Source organism: Homo sapiens, chromosome 17, assembly GCF_000001405.40.
Source record: "Homo sapiens chromosome 17, GRCh38.p14 Primary Assembly".
NCBI lineage: Eukaryota > Metazoa > Chordata > Mammalia > Primates > Hominidae > Homo > Homo sapiens.
The window spans coordinates 56,259,014-56,282,078 of NC_000017.11; the positions used below are offsets into that span (position 1 = coordinate 56,259,014).

The 23,065-nt window shown below is 39.0% G+C and overlaps 1 protein-coding gene across 12 annotated transcripts in view; it reads left to right on the forward strand.

Annotated features, from left to right (window-relative positions):
- Nucleotides 1-23,065, forward strand: part of ANKFN1 (ankyrin repeat and fibronectin type III domain containing 1) — a 470,940-nt gene that overhangs the window by 212,937 nt on the left and 234,938 nt on the right. Inside the window, exon 1 of one of the 12 annotated variants that reach the window (XM_017024269.2) lies at nt 11,210-11,462. The exons of the other annotated variants lie outside the window; for them this stretch is intronic. The gene's annotated coding sequence lies outside the window, so the exon portion shown is untranslated. Of the gene's footprint in view, nt 1-11,209; nt 11,463-23,065 lie in introns of those variants that run through there. 12 annotated transcript variants of the gene reach the window in all.

A 23,065-nucleotide genomic window follows, 5' to 3' on the forward strand; every position in this document is an offset into this window, starting at 1 on the left:
TGTCCATGTGACTTGAGTGCTTATTATATCTAGACACTGTGACGTGGAGTATCTTATGTAATCTTCACAACAGCTCTGTCGTATAGGTACTATTATCTCCATTTTTGAGGGAACAAAGATGCAGAAAGGTGAAGTAACAGGCCTAAAATCATCAGCTATTGAATGGTGAAGCCAGTACTCAAACACACTTCACAGACCTCCTTTTTAGTCACCATGCTAGGCTGCCTCTGTGGGAGATCATGTGAGATCCTGACTCTTCTATTTACAAACTCTGTAATATTGCTCAAAATTGCCATTTCCACATCTGAAAAAGGAGAGTAGCAGTGGCTGCTACGTTAGGACTGCTTTAAGGATTGGAAGAGATTAATGTATATGATATGCCAAATATCTGTATATAGGCATTTGGTTTTTGGTAAGTACTACTAGGGCAAAGTGGTGAAACTCCCTGACTTCAGGAGCCCAATTTTCTATGGATTGTCCCTGTTTTGTCACTTACTCTTAGACTTCTGTTTCCTCCTCCATAAAATGAAAAGGTTGGGGTAGGGAGGTGTTCCCAGTAGAATGACCATAAGCTACTATGAGATTCAGGAATGGGAAATAAAATGATAAAAAAGAGAGTGAAGTTCACTGGCATCTCGCATCACAGAGGATGGAGAAAAAGGAGACTAAAAATTTTCTAGTTTGCCAGTGAGCTTGATAATACTACTAGTTCAATGACTCCGTAGTTAATGAAAACTGTATCTAATGTGTTTCCTGTTAATGCTTGTGGCAAATATATAAACAGTTTCAAGTAAATTCTCTTCTGTTTTCAGCATACAGTTTCTTTTTCAGTCCCATTCTACCAGGTATATATAGGATCCAAAAGAGTTGGTATCACTCCCCCACCCCACCTCCAAACACACACACACACACACACACACACACACACACACACTCTTTTCAAATTACTAAAAGGAAGTAACATACTTGCACATGCAATTTAGCTGATTACATGCAATTATAAGCATACATCTGCCATCCAAGCAGAGAGCTGCACTGGGTTCCATGCAAGGATAGGCAAAAATAGATTTATCTAAACCATGGTGGCCTAAGAATTATCGTACCAAATTTAAACTTTTGGAGGATATTCAGCTTTCCCAATGTGACTTCCTGTTTTGCAGAAAAGAGCTGGAAGAAATAATAATAAAAGAAAGCTCATATTCATTTCTGTTCACCAAGTGGCTTGTTCAAAACAACATTTTAATGATTTAAGTGTAAATGAATCAGAGGCATATGGATTAGATTTCCCTTAAAATGCACAAGATTTTTAAATGAGGGAGAGTGGAATAAAGAATTTCCCCAAATTTAGTGCTCCTTGGAATTGCCTTTTCTAATGTTATTAAAAATCGGTGGTGGTGGTGGTGGGGCGGGGTAGGGGTGCTGATTCACTTTGCACCGCCTTTGGCAAATAGGGGCGGGTGGGGACAAGGTTTCTAACATCTCCTTTAAAAGGAGGCCATACTTCTCCTTGGGCATCAACTAATTCATCCCAACCAGCATTTTTGATGAGTTAAGTGCAAATGAATCAGTAACATACGGATTGCATTTGAAATACACATGGGGTTTAAAAATGAAGGAAAAAAGTACTCGGTAAAGTATGTCTGGGGTTTTGCCAAACCCATAATGTTCAAAAAAAATAGTTTGAAACAATTGATGAATCCCTCCCAGGCCCTGCCAGCCTCACCAGGCACAGTAGAAGCATGGCTGTTTGGGTGATCACTCCAGTTACCTCTCCTTTAAACAACACTAGGGAACAGCCAGGTCCAAACGATGTCACCTGCTTAGTGCCTGGGTGGCTTCCTAATTTTAATATGCACATTTTCTACATGAAAGAGGATTAATTCCCAAATGACAGAGAGAGTTAACTTACTCCTCTTTTGAGAGCATGCAAATACAGTAGACTGTTCAGCCATTTGTTCTCCTAGATAAACATACAAGGTAATTGAACAGAGATCGGAATCTGTCCCTAAATGGGTTCTGCATCTTGCATTTGCTTTTTGGCTTCCTCATTTGGCACCTAAATTAAAAAGCAGTGACCTGGTGCTTAGCAGCCTGTGCAGAGTCCCACCCCTAAGCCAGTGGCACCCCACTTGTCACCTGTACGGACCTTGTTATCTTCCTTTCCTCCCAGATACTATATTTTGAACAATATTGTCTACACACCAGATGCTGTTATTGAGAAATAATTTTCTCATTTTCTTATTAATCAAAAACTGCCATTGTTAGAAGACCAACATGAAACACATTGAGTTGCTAGCATTTGAGTTAACAGAAAGAAAATATGTGTTAGTTCCCCTTTGCAGTTGAACCTGGGTAGCTCTATAACTCCAGTGAGTGTTTCTGACATTGTATTAGGGTTCTCTAGAGGGACAGGACTAATAGGATAAATGTATATATGAAAGGGAGTTTATTAAGGAGTATTGTCTCACACAATCACAAGGTGAAGTCCCACAATAGGCCATCTGCAAGCTGAGGAGCAAGGAAGCCAGTCCAAGTCCCAAAACCTCAAAAGTAGGGAAGCCAACAGTGCAGCCTCCAGTCTGTGGTCAACTGTCTAAGAGTCCCAAAGCTGAAGAACTTGGAGTCCCATGTTCAAGGGCAGGAAGCATCCAGCATGGGAGAAAGATAAAGGCTGGAAGACTCAGCCAGTCTAGTCCTTCCACGTTCTTCTGCCTGCTTTTATTGTAGCCATGCTGGCAGCTGATTAGATGGTGCCCACCCGGACTGAGAGTGGGTCTGCATCTCCCCGTCCACTGACTCAAATGTTAATCTCCTTTGGCAACACCCTCACAGACATACCCAGGAACAATACTTTGCATCCTTCAATCCAATCAAGTTGACACTCAATATTAACCATCACAGACATGTTGGGAATATCTCATAGAGAAGACCATTTCTCCCTGCCCAGGTCCCCAAGGGCCATGATTCTAGATGGAGAATCATTAGCCTAAGGGATCTGAAAGGCATTTCAAGATCAACGTGGAGAGATTTCCAGACCAGCTCCAGTGGAATTCTCTAGGTCCGAGCCCTCCAAGAATTCTGATATAATTTTAACAAATCTTTCCCAAATACTAGGCAGGTTGAAAGACTTGGTAGCTCTGAGAATCATCTCAGAGAGAAGCTAGAGAGGATTGAAGGCTCTACGACCCTCTCCCCAACACAGAGTTTCTGATGCCTCAGGGCAGTCACCAGCCTCTTCCTTCCATCTGGGGCATCCTGCTCCTCATTTGGAGTCTGAAGCCAGTTGGCCTGTTCCATTTAAGACTTCTGCAGTAACTTCAATGGTTTCAATCCGTCGCAGCCACCCAAACACCTATTTTATTTTCAAGAAAATTAAGTATATGTCGTCAAGGCTCGTTAAAGGGATTAAGAGAAATTTGATTTTATTGTTTCCCTGCTCTGTTTTTAAGGGTGAGATGGGGGAGGAGTGTTGGAGGGATTATTTGGAGATTTATATGGAAATTCAAAAGTTACCCATTTCAAGTCAAGACTTTCAGCAACCGTATTCCTGCATGTTTTTTTATCAGAGTAGGTGGGAAGGCAGTTTCTTTTGTAGCATTTGAAAATAAGTTTGCTCTATAAATTCCTACGAAGCAGACATAGCTCTGGCAAATGCCTCGGGAGAACGATCATCTTGAGACAGCCATAGAAACAGTTTGACATTAATGAAAATGTGCAAATGAGATAATAAATGAGGATGGAAGAACCATTTCAAAACAACCTGTGACCTTTTTTATTTTTTTCCTGCCATACCCCCTCACAGAGCAGTAACACAGCAAGATAGTTAGAGAGACGAGCCACAAAAGGAGTAACAACTACGGAAGAAAGAAGACTTTTCCCCCCTTTGTCTATGCCCTTTCCCATTGTCAAGCACCATTGTTAAGGTGCTTTTGTAACATTAAGCAGCTCTTGGAACTGAATTATGTCTGTGGCTTATGTACATTTGTGCTCGAATGACCAAACGTTAGCGGAAAGGTTGAGTCACAGAGGCACGAATATATGCTTAATTTTATTTCCGGAAAGCAATCAAACAAGGGCACTTAGGCCCTACAGTGGGGCCAACTCAGAAACAAGACGAACAAGTTCACAGGCCATTGCTGACATAAGATCGATTGGCCATCCTGGGCCATTTAGCAAACAGTTTACATAGGCAGCCTGGGTACTGGATGTAAACTAAATGAAAGCTATCGAGAGAATTCCCTATAAAGTGGACTTGATCTATATTAGGGAGCAGGCTAATTATAGGGATTGGCATATATGGATTCAAAGTGAAACACTATATGGGACTAGAGAGTGGTGGTCTTTTATACCAGGGTGGTCTGAAACTGGGGTTTAATGTATGTACAATATACAAACATTTTTGACAGACCATTAACACCTATAATCTTGTAAATATTTGCAATTTTCTAGATCATAAATATAGCTGCATAAGCAGTTCTTTCAGAACATCATTTATACACCATTAAAGGTTAATTTACAAGTTAGTACCTTATAGAAAGAAGATATGTGGGCTTTCTGCTAACTTTCTGTAAAGGGAGACTGGTGTCTCCAAAAGCAATTTGTAGCTCTCCTGTGGGTCTGACTGGAGTCCTATTCAAAGCACTATTTGAATTCTTTTCATCAGCTCATGTTCACAGCAAACTTAATCTTCTGTTTTAGGGGGAAAGAATAACAGAGGGGAGAGAAAGATCCGAGGTCTTCAGGCTATACTTCCAAGCATCCAACTGTTTATTTGAGCAGTCTCTTTTGATACCATTCTCATTTGTCATAGTCCCCCTGATACCTGCTGTTGTACCTTAACCTCCATCCCAAAGGACTTTCAACAGTTCTAGATTTAAAGACCCCTTCTAGGGGCCAAGTAACAATGGAAGTCTGACCTCTGAGGCTGCCATTGTGACATTACATTTTGTTAAAAATCAAAGAGAGCAAAGAAAGGAGGAGAGAAAGTGTTTTGTGTGAGACTCCCGTACCCCTCACTTTCCAGACAGGTAATACAGTACTGTAGTCCCACTGAAGATAACATAGAGACCCAAGTTCCTATAGGAGCTGTCCACCAATCAAGGTGACAGAAAGATGCCATGGAACTCTGGGAAAAGGATTGCTAAATGTTGGTCAAATCTGTGGAAAAGCCACAGAATAAAGTCAGGTGACCACAGTGGATTTGTGTTGTCTCTGAAGAGGCTGAGCTATGTAACTTACTCATATGCTGGAGCCTCTTCTCCTCTGCAGAAGGATTCCATTGATCTCTTTGCCCTTTTTCTGAAATATGAACAGCCAGGTCTGCTGGCTACATGCCTGCCTGGGCTGACATGGGCATCTTTTGTGCATCACAAGCCTACTCTGCCTGTTAGACCTCCCAAACTTACAGGATTCTCGCTATTTTTCAGCAGCTCTGGTTTTCAAGAGCTCATTAAGACATCAGAAGGAAATTTCAAGTTTGCAGTCTACATACACTCTCTTTCCCTCCTTTTCTATTGATTTGGGAACATTTCCCACACATATCTCATGTTCCCTGTGCTTTTCAGGCCCCTCAAAGTCAATGAGTTCTCAGGAATAACGAATAACAAGACAGCTCTTCCATACTCACAGCTCTTCAGCATAGTGAGCATAGAGCACTGACCTTGGGTTCTACAGGTTTGGATTCTAACCTTAGCTCTGCCACTTTCTGACCTTAGAAAAATGGCAGTCTACTTGGGCTTCAGTTTTCTCATTTGTAAATGACTACATTGGGCTGTTAACAATGACCTCAAAATTCCTTTCCATGATTCGTAGTCCATCTTATTTGGGACCCAGGAAACTTATTAGTGCTATATTTTCCCTCTACAAATACTTTGGGGTCTTTTTTCTTTTTTTTGGCATAAACAGCATTACCCTTCCCCAGCCCTCTAGCTCAGGCCATATCCTCATCTACTTTTTCACATTTTTATGTGATAACCCCATCTAAATTATACCCACTCTGAAAAGTCCCTCTTGACTCTCTCTGCTCCACACATCCCTTTCCATGCCAGTTTAATGTTATTTAAAAATAATAATAAATGTTGATATAGGCTCATGGGTTTTGTGGGAAGTAAAGAATCACAGGTATTCTGAGAACAATCTCAAGATTTGGGCAAACAGTGTTCTAGTAGTCCATTCTCATACTGCTCTAAAGATACTACCTGAGACTGGGTAATTTATAAACAAAAAGTTTAATTGACTCAGTTTCACAAGGCTGGAGAGGACTCAGGAAACTTACCATCATGGCAGAAGGCAAAGGGGAAGCAAGCACCTTCTTCACAAGGTATCAGGCGAGAAAGAGAGAAGAAGGGAACTGCCAAACACTTTTAAAACCATCAGTTCTCTTGAGAACACCATGGAGGAAACCATCCCCATGATCCAATCACTTCCCACCAGGTCCCTCCCTTGACATGTGGGGATTACAATTTGAGATGAGATTTGAATGGGGACACAGAGCCAAACCATATCATGTGCAATGTTTAATAAAGTCAAAATTTTAGGCTGTGGTTAGAGATTTCGGGAGCCTGAAAAGGACTTTCACAGCATGGAAGCCAAGTATAGGACTGTACAGCTGGCCTTCAGTATTCAAGAAGGATTGGTTCCAGGACCCCCATGGATACCAAAATCCATGGATGCTCAAATCCCTTATATAAAATGGCATAGTATTTGCATATAACATATACACATCCTCTTATTTACTTTAAATCATCTGTAGATTACTTATAATACCTAATACAATGCAAATGCTATATAAGTTGTTGTTATCCTGTATTGTTTTTATTTGTATTCTTTTTATTGTTTTACTGTCTTTTTGTTTTCAAGTATTTTCAGTCCTCAGTTGGTTGAATCCACAGATGCAGAACCTGTAGATATAAAGAGCTTACTCTATTGGCAAAGTAACCAGTCAAAGGGCATATTATCTGATAGGGGAGGCACACATGTAAAAAGGTCTCTGGAAGAGTATCTAGCTACTGGCTTTTCTCTGGGACACCAGAGTAGATAACTTTTATAAGCTGTAAATGATAAAATTTGATTTTCTTGACATTTTTCAGTAGTGCTTGAATCATAAATAACACTGTTTATCTGGGCATTGGAGATATCTTCCATTTGGAAATACAATCATTTGAACCCTGGGCTATTTATTGTCTCTTTAATTTCTTATTTGGGGCCTCAAAGGTAGGCCTCATTGCACGAGCACTGTATATTCTGTGAGAATTTTACCTACCTTTGAATCTAATTCTGTGGCCTCCCAGACACATTGTTGTTGAATCATCATGAGTCTGTATGCTGCTTCAACCTGAGCCCTTCCATCCTGCCCGTCCATCTCCCTCCCTCTACTGTCAAAATCACTCTACCTACATACCTTTCATTCAAAACCCTATTCTCATCTTTCTCCACTAGCAATTAACTAAGGTGATAACCTACTCTGTGCACATTGGTGGTTTCCACTGGGTTAACTTGTTAAATGTCCCTCCTAGGAGTCCTTAAGCCTATCTATCCCTGTGTAAGTTGAGATCTTCTAAACAGTGTGTCAGGCTACATGACCTTAGTTTGCCAGTGTAGACATTCCTACAAGGAGCTATAATTGCATAATGTCCTTGGTTTTTGTTGAATGTCAATAAATGAAACAGTCATATGAAGAATGTTTCTGCATCTTTTGTAAATTTGCTGTTAAAGACCGTGTAATTCAATATCCCTTATATGAAGAACCATGTGACCAATTTTCCTTAGGATTCATCACTAAAAAAACAAAAATTATTTTTCCGTCTCAATTAATCATTTTGTTTGTGTTTAGTAGCTAACAGCCACAAAACTCAAGAGTGTTTAGAGGAGTGTTTTTGTTTTTGTTTTTGTTTTAATTTAGGAAAGGGATTCATCTCTCCTCTTTTCTGCCTTGGCTACCAAGAAGTTCAATGCCTAGTCTTCCACTCAGTTGTCATTGATCCTTATCCTAGTTTCTGAACTCATCCAGACTCTTCTTTTCTCCACTCAATAGGTAGTTTTTCCGTCCTCAGCCTCCTCCCACCCTCGCCCTCAAGTAGGCCCCAGTGTCCCTTGCTCCCTTCCTAGCTCTCACTTATAAGTCAGAACATGTGGTATTTGGTTTTCTGTTCCTGTGTTAATTCACTTAGGAATGGCCTCCAGCTGCATGTGTGTTGCGGCAAAGGACATAATTTACTGTAAGAAGTGTCTGTTCATGTCTTTGCCCATTTTTTAAATGAGGTTGTTGGATTTTTGTTTGTTAATTTTTTAAATGTCCTTATAGATTATGGATATCAGATCTTTGTTGGGTGCATTCTCCCCTTGGTAGTTGTCTGTTTATTCTGTTGATAGTTACTTTTGCTGTGCAGAAGCTTATTCATTTAATTAAGTCCCAGTCGTCAATTTTAGTTTTTGTTCAATTGCTTTTGGAGTCTTCATCATGAACTCATTGACAGGGCCTCTGTTCAGAATAGTATTTCCTAGGTTAGTTTTAGGTTTTATATTTAAGTTTTTAATCTATCTTGAGTTGATTTTTGTGTATGGTGAAAGGAAGGAGTCCAGTTTCAATCTTCTACATATGGCTAAGCAGTTATCCCAGCACCATTTACTGAGTAAGAAGTCCTTTCCCCATTGCTTGTTATTGTCAACTTTGTGAAAGACCAGATGGTTGTATGTGTGCAGCTTTATTTCTGGGTTTTCCAACTTATTTCATTGGTCTATGTGTCTGTTTTTGTACCAGTATCATGCTGTGTTGGTTATTGTAGGCTTCTAGTATAATTCGAAGTCAGGTCTTGTGATGCCTCTGGCTTTGTTTTTTTCACTTAGGATTGCTTTGGCTATTTGGGCTCTTTTTTGGTTCCATAGGATTTTTAGAATTTTTTTTCCTAATTCTGTGAAAAATATTGGCATTTTGATAGAAATAGCGCTGAATCTGTAAATTATTTCAGGAAGTATGGCTGCTTTAACAATATTTATTCTTCCTGTCCATGAGCATGGAATGAAAACTAACAAAGATATTCAGGACCTATATTCAACATTTCACCAAATGAACCTAATAGATATGTACAGAATACTCCACCCAATAACAAAATATACATTCTTCTCATCTACACATGGCACATACTTTAAAACTCACCACACGCTTGGCCATAAAGCAATTCTCAACAAATTTTTAAAAAAACTAAAATTATATCAACCACTCTCTTGGACCGCAGCACAATAAAAATAGAAATCAATACCAAAATATCTCAAAGCCATACGATGATGTGGAAATTAAGCAATCTGCTCCTGAATGACCTTTGGGTAAATAATGAAATTAAGGCAGAAATCAAGAAATTCTTTGACGCTAATGATAACAAAGACACAACATACCAGAATCTCTGAGATACAGCTAAAGCAGTTTTAAGGGGAAATTTTATAGTGCTAAACACCCATATCAAAAAGTTAGAAAGATCTAAAATTAATAACCTAACATCATACCTAGAGGAACTAGAAAAACCAGAGCAAACCAATCCCAAGGCTGGCAGAAGAAAGGAAATAACCAAAATCAGAACTGAGTGGAATGAAACTGAGATGCAAAAACCCATACAAAAGACTAACAAAATCAAAGGTTGGTTTTTTGAAAGAATAAATAAGATTGATAAACTGCTAGTTAGACTAATAAAAGTTTTTTTTTTTCCAAATACATCTTGTTTCCACAGACAAGACTGTAAGCTGGACTGTAAGTTTCTCCAGGATGGAAATCATGCTTTCCCTTTATTTTCAACTCATCTTCTTCCTACCTGACATTCTTCCCTCTTTCTCAGTCTGCAAATTTTTATTAAATTTTTATTAAATGTGTATGTCATCCCAGGAATTATGCTAAGCCCTGGAGATTTAAGATAAATAAATAAAGACACAAAATGCTCAGAAAATGCTTCACAAATAACTGACTCCTATTCTTTGTGACATTTCCACTGCTAAGAATGCACCTTATTCTATCAGGTACAGGCATCCTGGCAGTTTTTTGGGGGTAGTTATATGACCTGGGCCAGTTGTTTCCCCATTTGACTCAGATTTCTCAAGTGTGAAATAAAGAGTTTAACACGATCTTCTCCAAGCCCTAGAATTCCAGGGTTCTAGGTCATGATAGCTGTTTAATATGAACCAGAAGCCATGCTGACTTTGAACTCTTCTCTCATTCTGACCCTTCCTCAGCATAAAAGAAGACAAATACATTTCACTGTCCCCTCTACTACACGTCTCTTCCAGATAAGGTGATTGTACCATTTTAAAGTCACTCACAACCCTTCTGGCATATTCATTGTAATCGTCCATTTTATTTATATGTGTTCTGCAATTTACACAGCCCTCCCAAACAACTCTGGAAGCAGGTAATGGAGGAGTTGTCACCCATTTTACAGATGAGAAAGCTGACTTTGAGATATTATCATTATTGACTTGCCCAAGGTCATGGAGCTCATGTAAGTTTCTGAATGGTGCCAAAACAGTGTCCTCTCTCAACTACATGAGGCTTGAGCACAGCCTAAAAGATAGAGTCAGCTCTTGCCATCAAAAGCCTGGATTTCATGAGAAAAAAAGTCTGTGAACTTCTTAAGATGCTTAAGTCAAAATAGTTTTGGTGAAGCATAATTTTAACCCGCAGCATAACAAGGCCTTTGGCAAGGAAACAAGGAATACTAGGGACATAGTGTCTGCAAGGAAAATGCAACAGAATGCCACATACATCAAGCAGCTTTCACAGTCTGGGGATGAAAGAAATTAGAGTAGGGAAAAATTGCACCGTGTTTGGGGCCCTCTGTTCTGTGAAGTTCTCATTCAGGTCTTTGCAAAACTCAGCCATGTTTTCCCTCATTCCCCTAACCCTTGTGTTTCATTTTTAAACCCCAGTGCCTGCAAAGAGACATCCAACGCACATGTTTCTGATTCATTTACACTTAACTCATCAAGCTCTGTTTAAGAAGAGCTATCTGGTGTCCAAAATCTTTTGGAATATTTTCCTTTCCTTTTAATAAGCCATTGGGAGTTGTTTTTATTTCTTGTTTGTTTTTTGTTTTGTTTTGTTTTGTTTTTACTGGCATGTTCGTGCTTGAGTTGAGCACATGTAACAAAGCAGGGCACTTAAAGAGCCTAGTGGACAGGCACACCCCAATCTGCTTAGAGACTGAGAGGGACATTTTTGGTTAGCAGAGTCTCCGAGGCTCCATAGTCACGGGGCTTCACAAAGGGAGCCTGAAGAAGCTTGAGACAGGGCAGCTTGCCCATGACCAGGCCCATGTGGACCACCACAAGGCCCAGCAAGAAACAGACAAGGCTGCAGACTTGAGGGAAAGGGTTTTCTCTGTCCTGCCCAGCCTCCAGGGCTACAGGAAGAGAGAAAAGCTACATAACTGCTGGCTCAGAAGAAGACAGTCATCCCAGGGAAAGACAGTTCTGCTCGCAAGGTAAGCTGTCCTAATCACCATCATCCTACCTCTAGATCCTGGCAACCCCCTCCTAGTTGGTGGCTCTGCGTCCACTCTTGACTTCCTTCATCCCAGACATAAATCAGAGCATGCCCTCCCCTGGCTTATGGCTTCCTGGAGCACCTTAAGTAAAACCCAAATTCCTCACTACGGCCAAAGTAGTCATCATGACCAAGCCTCATTGGCTCCTCCAACCTCAGCCCTTACGATTCTCCTCATTCACTCTACTGCAGTGAAAGAGCTTCTGTTCTCTAACTTGAACATGTCCAGCTCATTTCAGTTTCAGGGTCTTTTTGTTGTTTCCTCAGCCTGTAATGTTCTTTTTCCTGCAGTCATATGGCTGCCTCCATCTTATTCTTTCTTTCTTTCTTCAGATACTCCTCTTCCCTTATCACTCCAGCTATAGTAGTACCTCCACCCTAACTTGCTCTTTAATGTTTAATTTTCTTCTTAGCACTTAGCACCACCACCTAAAATTATTTTAATTGTGCCATTGTTTGTAAAATTATTTTTTTATTTTTATTTTTTTTGGAGACAGGGTCTTGCTGTATCACCCAGGCTGGAGTGTAGTGGCATGATCTCATCTCACTGCAACCTCTGCCTTCTGGGCTCAAGCGATCCTCCCACCTCAGCCTCCCCAGTAACTGGGACTTCAGGCGCACCACCACACCCAGCTAATATTTTGTGTGTTTTGTAAAGATGGGGTTTTGCCATGTTGCCCAGGCTGGTGTTGAACTTCTGGACTCAGTTCACCTACCTCAGCCTCCCAAAGTGCTGGAATTACAGGTGTGAGACACCATGCCTGGCCTATATGGTTATTTCTGTTGGCCGCCACCAAACTGTAAGCTCCAGGTCGGGGACCATTCTTCCTTAGATACCACTGAATCTTCAGTGTCTAGAGCAATACCTGACACAGGGAAGTAGCTCAATATTTAAATGAGTGTGTGACTGAATGACTGTCCTTGACAACTGTTTAACCCAGAGTCATACATAAGCTTAAGAAGCCAGGGAAATAAATGTCTCCTGGTCTTAGAGCAGCAGAAGCAAGCAGACCTAGAAGAACCCCATTTCTGTCTTGGATAAGGTAGTATCGATGCATTGCTCTCAAGTATTTGGCCATTGAGTCAGCTGCTGTGAGGGTGACCAGGAAGGGCAGGGGATTCTAAAACAGGTGACTATAGAGGACCAACTTCTGACCCAAACCCTTGGAATATTAGAAGGCTTGATGCTATAAGACAAGTTGGGACATGGACCTGCAAGAGACCAGAGTGGCTCAGGGAGATTGCATCCGGGGCTGGGTAAGCCAAGGCCTACATCCTGCCCCTGAAAGTCACTGGCAATTTGCCTTTCAGCAAGCCGTTTACCCTCCCTGAGGCTGTTTCCTTCTTTGCAAAATGGGCATGATAGCAGCATGTTGTATAATATCAGATGTATAAGTACCAAACACAAGATCTGATATAAAAAGGGTACCCAATAAATAGTAGCTGTTGTTACTGGAGAGACTACAGTCGCAAACATTCTAATTATAATGAGCCCAGAAAACATGGTTTTGTTACAATATTAGGACAATATTAGAACACCTGTCCTAATAATGACCTGGAAAATTAACCAATCCAAAAATTGCATTTATTTTTCTATTTTTTATTACGGTATAATACCTTTAGAAAGTACTATCTTAACCACTTCAAATGCACCGTTCAGTGGCATTAAGTACATTGATATGATTGTACAACTATCACCTCCATTCATCTCCAGAACTATTTTCATCTTGCAAAACTGACAGTCTATATACATTAAACAACAACTCCTTGTTTCCTCTCCCCTCAGTTCCTGGGAACCACAATTCTATTTTCTATCTCTATGAATTTGACTACTCTAGGAATCTCATATAAGTGGAATTATATATAATATTTGTCTTTTTTGTAACTGGCTTATTTCACTTAGGATAATATCATCAGGGTTAGCATAAGGTCCCCAAAGTTCATCCACATTATAGCATGTGTCAGGATTTCCTTCCTTTTTAAGGCTGAATAATATTCCAGTGTATGTATATACCATATTTTGTTAATCCATTAATCCATCCATGGACAATTTGGTTGCTTCTACCTTTTGATTATTGTGGATAATGTTGCTATGAAGATGGGTTGCTATGAGACCATGCTTTCAATTCTTTTGAGGGTATATCCACAAGTGGAATTGCTGGATCATATATTAATTCTATTTTTAAGTTTTTTGAGGAACTACCATAATATTTTTCACTATGTAGTGGTTTTACCATTTTACACTCCCACCAATGGTGCACCGGTTACATTTTGAAGTGGAGGTTTAAGGAGGGAAATGCAATGAGTGAGTAGAATACCAAGTAGAAGGGATCCTAATTCCACAGTTACCCTGACTGTCTGGGAAAATGTTTCTTCCATTTGTTTCCTTTACATTTTTGCCAGGGAAAACTGATAGTTGATGCCTGAATTGGGCCCCTGATTCAACAGCCCAAATATTTTTTCTAGATACAGCTGTTAGTGCATCTTAACACCCTAAGACATCAATTTGACACAAAAGACAGCAAATTCTACCTTTTCCGGGACATGTTGCACATGGCTGACACTCCGAATCTCTCTAAAAAATACTTTGGTGTTTCCTTTCTTTTTTTATATTTATACATAATACAAGACAGATAAAATATTTTACATGACTAAATTTATATGTACCTTCAGTATCCCTTTTTCATTTAACAGTATAGTGTGTTCATTTTCATTGTTATAAACAGCTCTTTGTAAATACCTTTATTTAATGGGTATACTATACCCAGTACTATAACTGGCTCATATCATAATTTTTTAGCCATTCTTTGTTTGACACTTGGATTTTTTTCCCAATTTTTTACTATTATAAATAATGTGCTGACACACAAATCTTTGTCTGAATTTTATGTAGTTTTTCTAAGGAAGAGTGTCAGAACTGAATTTCTAAGTTAAAAACAATGGAAATTTTTAAGGATTTTGATAATATTGTCAAGTAGATTCCAGGAATACAATACAATTACAGACACTCACCAGATAGGGAATCTTATTTTTATTCACATATGTAATTAGTGCATTTTTAAATGTTACTAACTGCAACACAACTCATTGAATAAAGAATATTACTGAAAGGAAATAAAAAAGATATAAAGAAAAAACTAAAAGTATAAAAATGTTTAAGTTCCTAAAACATAAGAAAAATTAAAATAGCTAATATTATTGTGTATTGGATGTGTGTCAGAAATTTTGTTGAGTATTTATGTACAAAAACATCTTTCATCTTCAGAACTATATAGTAAGGTTAGGACATTTTCAGTTGCAATATCCCAAGCAATTATTCATTTAAATGAAAAAGACTGGGATAAGTTTAGCTTCAGGTACAGTTTGATTCAGGGTCCCAAATGTTACTGTCTCTCCCTCTATTTCTTGACATTGACTTCTTCTATGTTTGCTTCATTCTCATCAATGACAGGTTCCCCAAGAGCCTGGGCCAAAATCTCATTGCATGTCATTGACTCTTAGCATGTCACATTTCTGTAACCATAGTAATAGGACATTCTTATTGGATAGATCCGAGTCACATACAAGGGCATCCAAAGCATGGGAACTGGGAATGGGGTAGAGAGCAGAACCCTAAAGAAATCTGGGACTCTTTGACAAGGGAGGAGTCAATGGATGCTGAGCAGCAAAAGTAATTCTACATCCCAGCAACTTTGGGAGGCCGAGGCAGGCGGATCACGAGGTCAGGAAATCGAGACCATCCTGGCTAACATGGTGAAACCCCGTCTCTAGTAAAAATACAAAAAATTAGCTGGGCGTGGTGGCGGGCGCCTGTAGTCCCAGCTACTCAGGAGGCTGAGGCAGGAGAATGGCGTGAACCCGGGAGGCGGAGCTTGCAGTGAGCTGAGATCGCGCCACTACACTCCAGCCTGGGCGACAGCGCGAGACTCCGCCTCAAAAAAATAATAATAATAATAATTCTACTATAGGCAGAAGCTCTTGCTAACCACATTATTAGATCAGAAACTGAGGCTCAGAGAGCTTATTTGACTTCTCCAAGATCACACAGCTAGTAAGTAGCAGAGAGCGATTGAAACACGGGCTCCCATCTGTCTCACCCTATTAGAGGCACTGAAAAGCTTGACCAGGCCCTCACACCTGCGATCCTAGGGTAACCTAACTCTAGTCCCTTTGGGGCTGGCAATTTGCCTGGGTTTTTTGCATACAGCTGTGGTCTCCACATAGTTATAATTGTTCAAGCTGAATGTATTCATTCATTCAGCCAGAGGAGGTGACTCCCACTTATTCTGACTGGTAGCTTAATGGACCCAAGGTTAAAGGCCATTAGATTTGGAGGCAGGCAGGTTGAGTTCAAATCTTATCCCTGAAAAAATGTACCTTGCGGTTATCACTTAAGCTAAGCTTCAGTTTCCTCATCTGTAAAATGGACTGAATAACGGTCCCTTCTCTTCCTAAAAAGAATTAAGTGAGCTAATGCATGGAACCTGTTTAGGGCCATGCTTGCCTCCTCGTTTTTACTGGCTAGTGATGGGACCCAACGCCCCACCACAGGCATCATCACCACCCCTTCATGTGCTATAATCACTGATCCTTACCTCTCCTCAGGAAACGGTTGCTTCCAATTCCAGATCCAATATCTAAAGTTGAGCATAATGCATGACAGTGAGACAGATAAATTAAGAAAGGCCATTCTTTCACAGAAGAGGATTTAACCCTGCTAAAAATTGGAGTATCTGCTGATTACCAAGGAGATGAACATTATGAAAGGGAGTTTATTCTTTTTTTTTTTTTTAACAGCCTCCAGACAGAGGGCCCAAGCATCTGTACTTTAAAAATTTAGATTAAAATAGAGGTTTCGGCTGAATACTTCTATGTAAGAACCACTACCATAGACGATTAGGAGAAGACTGTGCTGTTCAGAGTGATCAGAAAAGGCTTAATGAAGAATTTCAGTAGAGCCATAAAGGAAAAATAAGATTTAGTTGAAAGTTTAAGTGTGATGGTATTAAGGCTAAGCACACAATGAAGAAAAAGATTAAGGAGGTGTCAAATACAGTGTTTAAAACGTATAGCAAGGAGACTGTTTTGGGCAAAAAAAGTAGGTGAATGATTGGGCAGATGACCCCCAAATTGTTAAAGACTTTTAGGGTGAAGTCTAGTCTTGAAAACATTGGGGAGCACAGAATATTTCTAAGAAATGGACTTAGTACCTAATGCAGGAGAAACTGTTGAAATGAAAGACAGAAGGCAGGAAAGACAGAGAGTACATACTGCAGAAGTCCAGGCAAGAGATGAATAGGGCCTAGATCAGCACTGTATTTTTTTATTACTATTATTATTATACTTTAAGTTCTAGGGTACATGTGTACAACATACAGGTTTGTTACATAGGTATACATGTGTCATGTTGGCTTGCCGCACCCTGTAAATCAACTTGTCATTTACATTAGATATTTCTCCTGATGCTATCCCTCCCCTAGCCTCCCACCCCATGACAGGCCCCAGAGTGTGACATTCCCCACCCTGTGTCCATGTGTTTTCATTGTTCAATTCCCACCTATGAGTGAGAACATGCGGTGTTTGGTTTTCTGTCCTTGGGATAGTTTGCTGAGAATGATGGTTTCCAGCTTCATCCATGTCCTGCAAAGGACATGAGCTCATGGAATACTGCATAGTATTCCATGGCGTATATGTGCCACATTTTCTTAATCCAGTTTATCATTGATGGATATTTGAGTTGGTTCCAAGTCTTTGCTATTGTGAATAGTGCTGCAATAGACATACACGTCTTTATAGTAGCATGATTGATAATCCTTTGGGTATATACCCAGTAACGGGATCGCTGGGTCAAATGGTATTTCTAGTTCTAGGTCCTTGAGGAATCGCCACACTGTCTTCCACAATGGTTGAACTAATTTACACTCCCACCAACACTGGAAAAGTGCTCCTATTTCTCCACATCCTCTCCAGCATCTGTTGGTTCCTGACTTTTTAATGATCGCCATTCTAACTGGTGTGAGATGGTATCTCATTGTGGTTTTGATTTGCATTTCTCTGATGACCAGTGATGGTGAGCATTTTTTCATGTGTCTGTTGGCTGCATAAATGTCTTCTTTTGAGAAGTGTCTGTTCATATCCTTTGCCCACTTTCTGATTGGGTTGTTTGTTTTTTTCTTGTAAATTTGTTTAAGTTCTTTGTAGATTCTGGATATTAGCTGAAAGGGAGTTTATTCTTATTCCTTTTCCCACAGACAAATCATTCCCTTTATTTTTAATAACTTACCTCTCCTCCAATTTTTTCTCATCCATGATGTATTTCAATTCATCATAGGGTATAACTTAAATGCTTTGAATGAGATGATTTTTTTTGCTGAGGGAGCCCCAGCTTCACTGCATTTCCTTTGAATTGTGGCAAATTCCGTTTTGAGGTTTGTTTAAGGGAAAGGAGGCTTCTTAAACAAAAGTGTACTCTATGCACAATGGTAGTAGTGTTTATGGGTTACCCCCACTAACTCCTAAAATCTCAGCTAAAAAATAATGATATGAAATATAGAAGCCATTCATGCCAAGCTCCCACTACCATGTAAGGGAATGACTATCAAATGGTAGCTGTTTGGTATGTCCAGCTTCTGTTAATTATTCCTACAGTGTTCAATAGAATAAAATACCTATTTGAATCAACACTAATAAAATTAAAGTAACTTTGATCTCATTCTAGAGTAATGACTAAGCACTTCCTAGACAAACTGGTAATGAGAAGTATAGGAATTTACAATTCCAAATTCTACATGTTTGACTTGCAGGACATCAATCTTGTAAGCTCTTTATTTTTATTTAAAACTATTTCTTATTCATTTATTGACCTACAGAGTTATCCTGTAGTAGCATAATAATAATAATGCTAATTATAATAATAATAATCACTCTCCTGTATTGAGTACCTACAATGTGCCAGGCACTATCTTGAATGCCTCATGTACATTTTCTTATATAATCCTCACAGTACACCTGAGAAGTCAGTATTTGTGTTCCCATTACAGAGGATGTCATTAAAGATTAAAAAACTGGTGTACAAAGTCTCATGATAATAAATGTCAGGACCAGAATCAAACCCAAATATGGCTAACTCCATATTAGCCATAGTGTACGCTGCTTGAGAACTGAGTTTGCAACCCTTCAGAGTTTGAGTTTTATCTAGCTCACTCACTGCCATAAAATCATATTTTTAGCCCCAAATTGTACACTCAAAGAGAGATTTTATCAAAGCCTGAAAGCTAGCAGTATAGGTATATGTTTATGTAGGAGAATATTGAGTCACACGATCTACAGTATTTCGAATAATGAGAGAGTGGTATCACCATCAGTGGCATCATCACAGGTGACCTTTTCAATATATGACTCTACGAATAAGATCAAGACATGATACACACTCTGTGGGTCAGAATGTCCGATAAGGGTCATTTGAAAAACCCTTGCTTCCTTAGGAAGGTAAACATTTATAGAGCAAATATCAAGAGATAAACTGGCTCTATATTATCAATTGATAACTTGTTAAAAGCAATTCCCAATAAAAGCCCCTTTGAATTACCTATCCACAACAATATCAGAATGATCAAAGCAGCTTATATCTCACATTGAATGAAGCCTTAACTCATCTAAATGCCTCTTTGCCAATCTCTCTTCCTTCTTAAAGGTAACCACTGGGGAATACAATTCAGGTTCTGGCAAGAGGATCCCTGAGGGATTCCTTCTCTGCTGCCACACACCCTCCCTCAGTCACTCCCCTCCTCAGCCATCCTCTTGGATCTAAGTTCTGCAAAATTCCCAAATTAGGAATTAAGTACATGTTTATTCCATCATGATTTTCTCCTCTAATCTGGCAGATAAAAATAACAGAAAGAAATATCTCTTTGAAGTCTCATTTTATCCTCTACTATCCCAAAAGTAAACTTCAAAATGTTGCTGGTCTCCTTTCTTCATTTGACCCCAGTCCAAGCAGGACAGCTTTAAGGGTGGACCCCACATACAATTCCAGTTCAAAAAAATTCCTATTGCTTTAGGAATATGCAGACTGATTTTGAATATGCATCTTGCCCATCACCAGTATTTTTTTAAGTTCTATTTCAAAAACTAGAGAATGGATCTTTTATTGGTAACAATAATTCTGAGAGTAGATGACCAAGAGACAGCTTGAAAGACATCTTAAAAGATGCCTTATGACCAAATACAAATAATCAAAAACAAAGCCTAACAGCTTAGACATTTGAACTGAACAAGTACATTAGAATAGTCTTCTGTTGTCTTGAAATGCCTTGAAGTGATAAAAACTGTGAAACTACGATATTTATTTTGAAAGATGTACAACATGAAGCTTAAAGGTGAAAGATCTATTTAGTGTGGATTTTTTTTTTAAGCTTCAAAATGAACAGTGTCTGATTCTTAAAGTAAAAGCTGTGAGACTTTTGCTGGAAGCATTTTAATATGTCCTTTAGTTTTTCTTCTTTAGTAAGATATGTCAGTTCCACATTTGTTGACACCCCTCTCTGTGCCATGCACAGTGCTAATGAGAATATACCAGCTAAGGAAAGTGTAGCCTCTGCCTTTGAGGAGATTAAAAACTCTTATGCTGGAAAAAATGGTATTACAAATTCTAATATACCCAATATAAAGAACTAAAAATTATATAACATCAGTTTTTCTACCTATTGTCCTATAATTTCCATTTTCTAAACAGAAAGAAGTGGAATCCCACAGAGAGAAATAATAAATGTTCATGCTGAGCAATGTTCTTTTTTCTTGTGATGTCTAAAAGCAGTTTTCTCTAAATGAAATTTAAATAGAAATTACTAATATTGAAATTAGTAATATTATCAGATATTCTGTGTTTTCACCCAAGAAGCATAAGGCTTCAGGCTTCATAGAGCTTCTTCAGACAGTCTTTTGTTTTTATAGCTCGAAAATTGACAACACAAAGACAGCTATTGACTTGGCATCCAGGAGCAGAATAACACACCTGGTCCTAATGCCTGTGTTTTTTCTTCCAATCTTCCCCCTCTCTCTGTTTTTTCTCTTTGTTGCTTCCCTGAGGATATTCATATACAGAACTTTGCTCAGTACAACACAAAGAGCTAGATGACATTGTCTGCTGGCAGAAAAGTGACAACTATTAGGCTTGGGTTGGAAGCTGCAGTGGTTGTTGATTTTTAAGGTCTACACACAATTATTGAACAAAATATTCATATGACAGTTAAAGTGAATCTGTTTGTAAGTTTTGAAAGTTTAGGCAACTCGCGTATCATTTCTGGGCCTCAGTTCTCACATTATAAATATGAGCACTAAACCAGTGGTTCCCAAAGTTTGCTGCACACAAGAATCACCTTTTAAAAGGAGAGCTTTTAAAAATCCTGATGCCCAGATTGCTTGCCAAACCAATTAAATCAGAATATTTCAGGTTGGGAGCCACATAATGTCTTTTTTTTTTTTTTTTCTCAAGACGGAGTTTCTTTTTGTTGCCCAGGCTGGAGTGCAGTGGTGCGATCTCAGCTCACTGCAACCTCCGCCTCCCAGGTTCAAGCAATTTCCCTGCCTCGGCCTCCCGAGTATCTGGGACTACAGGTGCATGCCACCATGCCCAGCTCATTTTTCGTCTTTTATGTATAGAAATATATATATATTTCTACGTGTATCTGTGAGCTTTTTTCCAGAAGAGATTAGCAATTGAATCAGTAGACTGAGTAAAGAAGATCCACCCTCACTAATGTGGGAGGGCAGCATCCAATCCACTGAGAACCCATAGAATAAAAAGGCAGAGGAAGGGCGATTTGCTTCTTAAACTGGGATGACCATATTCTCCTGCCTTCTAACATCAGAGTTGCTGGTTCTTGGGCCTTCCACCTCCAGGATTTACACCAGAATGACCCTGCTCTTTCCTCCAGTTCTCAGGTCTTTGTCCACTGTTGGATGCCCTGGTTCTGAAGCCTTTGAACTTGAACTGAATTCTATACCACCAGCTTCTCTGGTTCTCCAGCTTGCAGATGGCATATTGTGGGACTTCTCAGACTCTATAATTGCATGAGCCAATCCCATAATAAATCTCCGATATATCTATATATATCCCATTTGTTCTGTTTCTGTGGAGAACCCTGGCTAATACAAAATCACGGAGTTTTTTTTTGTTGAAGTTGACAAATTGATTCCAAAATGTTATAAAAATGCAAAGGATATAGAATAGTCAGAGCAATCTTGCAAAAAAAGAACAAAGTTGGAGGCTAACATGGTTTGGCTATGTCCCCACCCAAATCTCATCTTGAATTCCCATATGTTGTGGGAGGGACCTAGTGGGAGGTAATTGAATCATGGGGGTAGGTCTTTCTCATGCTGTTTTCATAATAGTGAATAAGTCTCATGAGATCTGATGGTTTTAAAAAGGGGAGTTTCCCTGCACAAGCTCTCTTCTCTTGTCTGCCACCGTGTGAGATGGGCCTTTCACCTTCTGCCATGATTGTGAGGCCTCCCCAGCCATGTGGAACTGTTAAGTCCAATAAGCCTCTTTCTTTTGTAAATTGCCCAGTCTCAGGTATGTCTTTATCAGCAGCATGAAAATGGACTAATACAGAGGCCTCAAGACTATCAAATTGCAGTAATCCAGATATATAGTATTAGTGTAAGCACAGATGAGTAGGCCAATAGAGAACAGATAATGTAACACTTGACCCTTATTAAACAATTAATTGATTTTTCAGCCAAAGTGCCAAAATCATTCAATCAGGAAAAGAAAATGTTTTCAATAAATGGTTCTAGAACAACTAGATCATAATTTGAAGGGAAAAAAAGAATCTCAACCCCTATCTCATACAAAAATTAATTTTATATGGATCACAGACCTAAATGTATAAGCTAAAATTATAAAGAAGAAAATATAAGATAAACCATTTGCAAAGACTTCAAACAGGACACAAAAAGTACTACCCATTAAAAAAGTACTTCATCTAAATTAAAAATTAAAGACTCCATTTAAAAATATGTGAATAAGCAAGCCACAGGCTGGAAAAATATATTCATGTCACATAGGACTTATATTCAGAATACATAAAGAACTACTAAAACTCAACAACAAAAAGACAACCCAATTTTTAAAACAGGCAAAAAACTTGAACAAACACTTCACAGAAGATATAAAAATAATTAGCAGCACATTTTTTAAGTGCTGAAATTCATTAGACATCAAGGAAATGCAAATTAACATCACAATGAAATACCCCTCACACTATTTTAATGGCTAAAAATACTGACAATACCAAATGTTGGTAAAGATGTAGACAACTAGAATTCACATAGATTGTTCATGGGAGTATAAAATGGAATCATTACATTGGAAAACTATTTGGTAATTGATTATAAAATTGAACATATCCCTACCTTAGGACCCAGCAATTCTACTCTTAGCTATTTACCTAAGATAAAGGAAAACGTATGTCCATTCAAAGACCTGTACCTGAATATTTATTGGAGTCTTATTCATCATAGCCCCAAAGTGAAAGC